Source organism: Homo sapiens, chromosome 7 (genome assembly GCF_000001405.40).
Source record: "Homo sapiens chromosome 7, GRCh38.p14 Primary Assembly".
NCBI lineage: Eukaryota > Metazoa > Chordata > Mammalia > Primates > Hominidae > Homo > Homo sapiens.
In genome coordinates, this window is record NC_000007.14 from 131769204 (window position 1) to 131775566 (window position 6363).

Below are 6363 nucleotides of genomic sequence, written 5' to 3' on the forward strand. Positions count from 1 at the left end.
TCGCTTCCCCAGTTTATACTCTTCCCTTAACACTACCTGTTTGATGGTCTCAATCACAAACAAGCTTGAGAAACAGAATCATTTCCTTTTCAGGAGTCTACAGGTAAAAATCAGCAGGTATAAGGACAATTTGGGACTAATTTCAGCCCCTACCTGATTTTGAGCAAATAAATGACTCACGACATGCCCTTGGCCAAACCATGGAGCCTCTTGGGGCTTCAGCTTCCTCTTTAATAAAATGGGATGAGTAATCCTTGCCTCGCCTTCATTTTACAAGCATGTAACAAGGATGAATCAAGTAATGGCTGTAGAATCCTTTGAGGTCCTTGGAGAAATACTTGCTATATAAATGCAAAGTATGATGTCCATTTCTATTACATTGTGTTTTGCAAATAAATATATAAGCCTATGGCACATCCATGTCAGTGCCTGTCTGGCCAGCCATTTGCCATGTACATCTTTTAATCATCTCCATACATTTATTCATTGAAAGCATATTCCAAATCTGTAATGCATGGGTTATTATTATTATTTTTTCTTTTTGGAAGCCCAGGGCACATGTCTGTTCTGCCTCATTTCAGCTGCTGGGAATTCTGACAGATCCATTGTTGGTGATATGTGCACGGGGGGAGGTTTTCAATATCATCAGAGACCTAGATCCAGACCAAAGAAGGTTTCATGTTCATCGTCCTTCCCATTCCCTTTTCCTGACCCTCTTAATTGAGCTGTTCAGAAAAGAGGCCCTGTCATTCTTTTGAAAAATAGCCTGCTTGTCCCTTCCTAAAAACTTTAACCAGGTTGCTCCCTGATTCAGAAGATAAAAGAACAGATTGTGGAATGTACTTTGAATCATGTAACACTTTAGAGGCTATTAGTTGTTGTCGATTATCTCCGGGAATAACCAGCATCCTTTCCCCTGTCTTTTACTATCATATGTCTTTTGTCTAATCCAGATCTCTTTTCTTAACTCTGGATCCTGTTGTACAACTACCCCCTGTGTGTCCTACAGGCACCTTAGACTCTAAATATCTAAAATCAGACTTTCCATCTTCCCTTCGCATCAGCTCTACTCTCTACATTCTGTCAAGACCCCAGTAATCAAGGCTAAAGATAGGTGAGGTGGTGATTTCCTAGTCGTGGTTCTGAAGCTTCAGGGTTTATACTTAGGTGAATCGCAACTCTGAAGGCTGAGTTTTCTTCCTTTTTAATAAAAATACATAGAAATTTGGCCCATGGGGTAAAAGTGAGTAGTATTGGGAAAACACTTTCATGTTTAAGAAGTCTCCTGTGTCTTGTACTCAAAGGTAGACAGCTGGAGTCCTCTGGGCTTCTGCCTCTTGAGATCACCTGTATTCATTGCATATTGATCCTTCTCCAAAAAGCTTCATGAGACCTGATTCATGTTCACAAAATCTTCAGGACCTGAAATTTGGAACTTCTGAATCTTTTGGCTTTATAGAAACCAAAGAGGAACTTCTAGTTCAGTGTTCTCTTGAAAGGCTTAGACCTCAAGCGTTCTGTTACCCAACTGTCTGATTGTTTTGACTAAATGTTGGCATACCTAGGGTAAACCTCTGGCCATTCAAAATTCAAAGTCTCTCTTATTGAGGTCTCTTCCCTGCTGTCCTTTTTAAAAATGCAAGTGGCTGGGCATGGTGGTTCACGCCTGTAATTGCAGCACTTTGGGAGGCCGAGGCGGGTGGATCACTTGAGGACAGGGATTCAAGACCCGCCTGACCAACATGGCAAAACCCTGTCTCTACTAAAAATACAAAAATTAGCTGGGTAGGGTGGCATGCGCCTGTAATCTCAGCTTCTCAGGAGGCTGAGGCAGGAGAATTGCTTGAACCTGGGAGGTGGAGGTTGCAGTGAGCCAAGATCACGCCATTGCACTCCAGCCTGGGCAACAAGAGTGAAACTCTGTCCCTCCAAAAAAAAAAAAAAAAAAAAAAAAAAAAAAAAAAAAAAGTAGATTCTTTCCTAAGCTTTCCTGCCTTCTCACTCAAGGCAGTGTCCCCAAGTGAGCTCATCCTCTCCCATATCTTTTACTGTCATATCTCTTTTTAAACCCAAACCTCTTTCCTTGCCTCTGGATCCACACATCTAATTGCCTGTTGTACATCTTCCCCTGTGTGTCCTACAGGCACCTTAGACACTAAACGTCCAAAGTCAGATTCGCCATCTTTCCTTTCCATTAGCTCTACTTCCTATATTCTTTGCCTTGGCTTTTGTCAACTAGTACACAAAGTAAGCCAGACACTAATGATATTGAGCACATTTTCATCTCTGCATGTTACCCACATGAACCTTTGTGTGTGTGTGTGAAGTGCATGCTCAATTGCATGTTCTTTTGCCCACCTTTTTCCTAATTATTTTTAGGAATTCTTGATATAAATCCTTACTTCAAGCTGGGCATGCCTGTAATCCCAGCACTTTGGGAGGCCGAGGTGGGTGGGTCACCTGAGGTCAGGAGTTTGAAACCAGCCTGGCCAACATGGCAAAACCCTGTCTCTACTAAAAATACAAGATTTAGCCAGGCGTGGTGGCATGTGCCTGTAGTCTCAGCTACTCGGGAGGCTGAGGCAGGAGAATCACTTGAACCCTGGAGGCAGAGGTTGTAGTGAGCCAAGACCGTGCCACTGCACTCCAGCCTGGGCAACAAGAGCGAAACTCTTTCTCAAAAACAAAGAAACAAAAATCCTTAGTTCGATATATGTTTTATAAAATAAGTTCTTCCAGTCTGTGGTTTACCTTTTCTCTTAATAATGTCTTTGAGTAGGCCGGGCATGGTGGCTCACGCCTATAATCCCAGCACTTTGGGAGGCTAAGGTGGGTGGATTACCTGAGGTCAGGAGTTTGAGACCAGCCTGGCCAATATGGTGAAACCCCATCTCTACTAAAAATACAAAAATTAGCCAGGCCTGGTGGCAGGCACCTGTAATCCCAGCTACTCGGGAGGCTGAGGCAGGAGAATTGCATGAACCCGGGAGACGGGGGTTGCAGTGAGCTGAGATGGCGCCATTGCACTCCAGCCTGGTCAACAAGAGTGAAACTCTGTCTCAAAAACAAACAAACAAACAAAAGTCTTTGAGTAAACATGAGCTTTTACGTCCAATTATCAATTGTTTATTTTATGGTTAGTGCTTTTTATGTCCTGTCAAAAAATATTTGGCTACCATATGTTACTATTCTCATTTTGGAAATTTAAAAGACAGTATTTATTTGTTTATTTATTATTTAGTTTTTATAGAGACAGGGTCTCACTATGTTGCCCAGGCTGGTCTTGAACTCCTGGGTTCAGGTGATCCTTCCGCATTCTATTGAATGATACATCACATTTTATTTGGTCATTTCCTGTGGATATTTAGGTTGTTTTCAAATTCCAAAGCTTTGTCAATAAGCAATGGTGCAAAACATCCTTGGATGTGTCTTTTTGTGATACATATTTCTTTAGGGTACATATCAAGGATAATATTGTTGAGTCAGAGATTATGTACATTTGAAAATTTGAATAGACACTGCTATATTGCTCCCAAAGTAATTGTGCTGATTTATGTTCTCAGAGCCTTTAAGTTTTAATTCAAATTTCTAAGACTTGAGATTTTGATAAACCTAGCATGACTGTTGAACAGATTTTTTTCTCCAGGCTACCATATAGACTACTGTGCAGCCCAGGGATTGGCTGTCATTGGATCAGGTGCCCACCGGGATCTAATTATCAGTGGCAGGAGAGGGGGAGTCAGGTGGTATGAAACTCATTGACTAAGGCTGCCACAAGCAGGTCTGAGCCAATTTTCCTTAGAAGTGGCTCAACAAGGCCAGGAGTTCGAGATCAGTCTGGGCAACATGGAGAGACCCTATATCTACTAAAAATAAAAACAAAAATTAGCTGAGTATGGTGGTGCATGCCTATAGTCCTAGCTACTGGGGAGACTGAGGTGGAAGGATCACTTGAGCCCAGGAGCTGGAGGTTATAGTGAGCTATGATTACATGACTGCACTCCAGCCTGAGTGACAGAGTAAGATCCTGTCTCAAGAAAAAAAAAGTGACTCACCAAGTCTCCTATAATTCCAAAGTACTTTTGCATCTACAGTTTCAATATCATATATTTGCTGGAAAGTTAAAATGAGATCATAATATGACAATATTTTAGAAAACAAAATACATGATGGCCTTATTATTATTATTTAAAAATATTTTAAAAACTACTCTGCTAGGTATGTGGGAAAATACCTGTATCAGCATGTCACAGATAAGAGCTAATGGTTATTGAGTGCTTCCTTTATGACGGGCAGTAACCTAAGTGCTTTGCATGTACTGACTTATTTATCTTCATGATAATCCTATCAGGTAACATTACTTTATCTCCATTTCACAGATGAGGTGACCAGACAACAGAGAGGTTAAGTGACTTTCCTAAGTTCACACAGCTTTCAGATGGCAAAGGTGCGGTTTGTGCTCAGGTTATCTGATCCCTGATGTCATTATCCCACAACTCCACTCTGAACAGATGGGAAAGAGCAAGTGAGCAAATGGCTTGTTCCATTCTGCCATGAGGACTAAACTCAGATTTTTTTCTATCTTGCTCTAATTCCTATCTAAGGGGTCTGGGGAGTAGTGCCCTACAAATCATAAATTCTCATCAGATGGGTTTTATTTAACCCTATATATCATGACTTTCCAACCTGACTCTGGCATAACGTTACGAGACAAGAAAGAAAATAAAAATATTTTGTGGAAACATGTTTCTTTGCCGTGTTTAAAAATGGCCCTGCAAAGCTGTCCTTTGTAGGGGAAAATGTGCATCTGTAAAGAATCTCTATTACCATAGCTAGATCTCTTTTTTTTTTCCAGACCCTCCCAACCCTGAAGAGATTAGCTAAGATCTGAATAGGAAATATTTGTCATCTATTGTCTCTAAGGGCAGCCACTATAAGACTTTGAAAGAACTTTGGTCTCCACAATCTTTTAGCTTAACCAGAACATTCCCTTTCTATCAATCCCAGGTCTTTAGACAAACTCAACCAATTGTCAACCAGAAAATGTTTAAACTCACCTGTAGCCTGGAAGTCCCTGCTTTAAGTTGTCCCACCTTTCTGGACCAAACCAATGCATTTCTTAAAGTGTATTTGATTGATGTCTCATGCCTCTCTAAAATGTATAAAACAAAGCTCACCTGGACCACTTTGGGCACATGTTCTCAGGACCTCCTGAGGGCTATGTCATGGGCCATGGTCACTCATATTTGGCTCAGAATAAATCTCTTCAAATATTTTACAGAGTTTGACTCTTTTCGTCGACAGCCGTCACCCGTAGGGGACCCTGACCTGTGCTCTGCCCACTCTCGACACCATCTTCAACCCTTTCCTGGGCTGCCCTTGTTTGGCATTAGGGCCCTGATAGCCGAAAGTCCCGCCCACTCCTCCCAGCTCCCTCCTGCCTCCTTCTGGGAGCCTGTGGCCGATGACTCTTCTTCTTGGCCCTTTTATCTCTAAATAAGTAAAAGGAATACTTTCCTCCACTACCCACATCTCAGGCTGATCCTTGCCTTTTTATTTATTGAGCAATGAATGTAAGTGACTGAAATCAACCAATGCTTATCAAAACCCTTGCATCAGCTAATCCTTGGGGGAAAACAGAGTTAGGAAGAGAGTTTGCTCAGGGCCACAAGCAATGCGTTTGATGATGGCAGGGTCAGCACCAACCCTTCAGGGCAGGGAGGACTAGCCCAGGCTTGCCTCCTGTCATTCTTGGAAGTGGGAGAGGGAGCTACAGTTTCCACAGTCTCTCTTTGCTGAGGAAATGCAGGAGCTCTATGACTTGGTGTTGCAATTTCTTTTTATCAATTCATCCTTCTACTGTCTCTTATCTGGAGATTTCCTGTCTCCTTGATTATGATGATCCTTGGAATGAAAGGCTTAAAAAAGAACTTGGATTTCACCTTATATACACATTTCTATCTGGTAATAAAAGATGAGGGGAACGAAACTAGCCACCATTCACCCAGAGAGTGAACAACATTTAAAACTCAGAGGCTGACATGCCACTTAGGTTTGGCTCATTGAAGACATTGGGTTAATGACTTCTCTGAAAGGAAAAGTTTTACTCGTATCCCCTATTTATTCAATGGTTTTCTAATTGGGCACCTACTATGTTCCGGGTATCAACACTTAATTGGAGGGGCATAATTAGTAACCAAAAAGGCACGCTGCTCAGATTTTAATTGAATCACTCAGGGGTTTTGTTAGAGTGCAGATTTTGATTCAGCAGGTCTTGGGTGTGGGGTCTGAGAGTTTGTGTTTCTAAGTGGCCCCTCGGTGATGCAGAGGGGGCTGTGACAGAACAGGGACTAGGGTAGCATT

General features: G+C 41.9%; 1 annotated feature.

The window, feature by feature from the left end:
* Nucleotides 5545-6045: an enhancer, noted in NCBI's record as "H3K27ac hESC enhancer chr7:131459507-131460007 (GRCh37/hg19 assembly coordinates)". NCBI's record gives its function as "activates a minimal SCP1, AML or CMV promoter by ChIP-STARR-seq in primed H9 embryonic stem cells {active_cell/tissue: H9 hESC(primed)}" and the evidence as "EXISTENCE:reporter gene assay evidence [ECO:0000049][PMID:30033119]".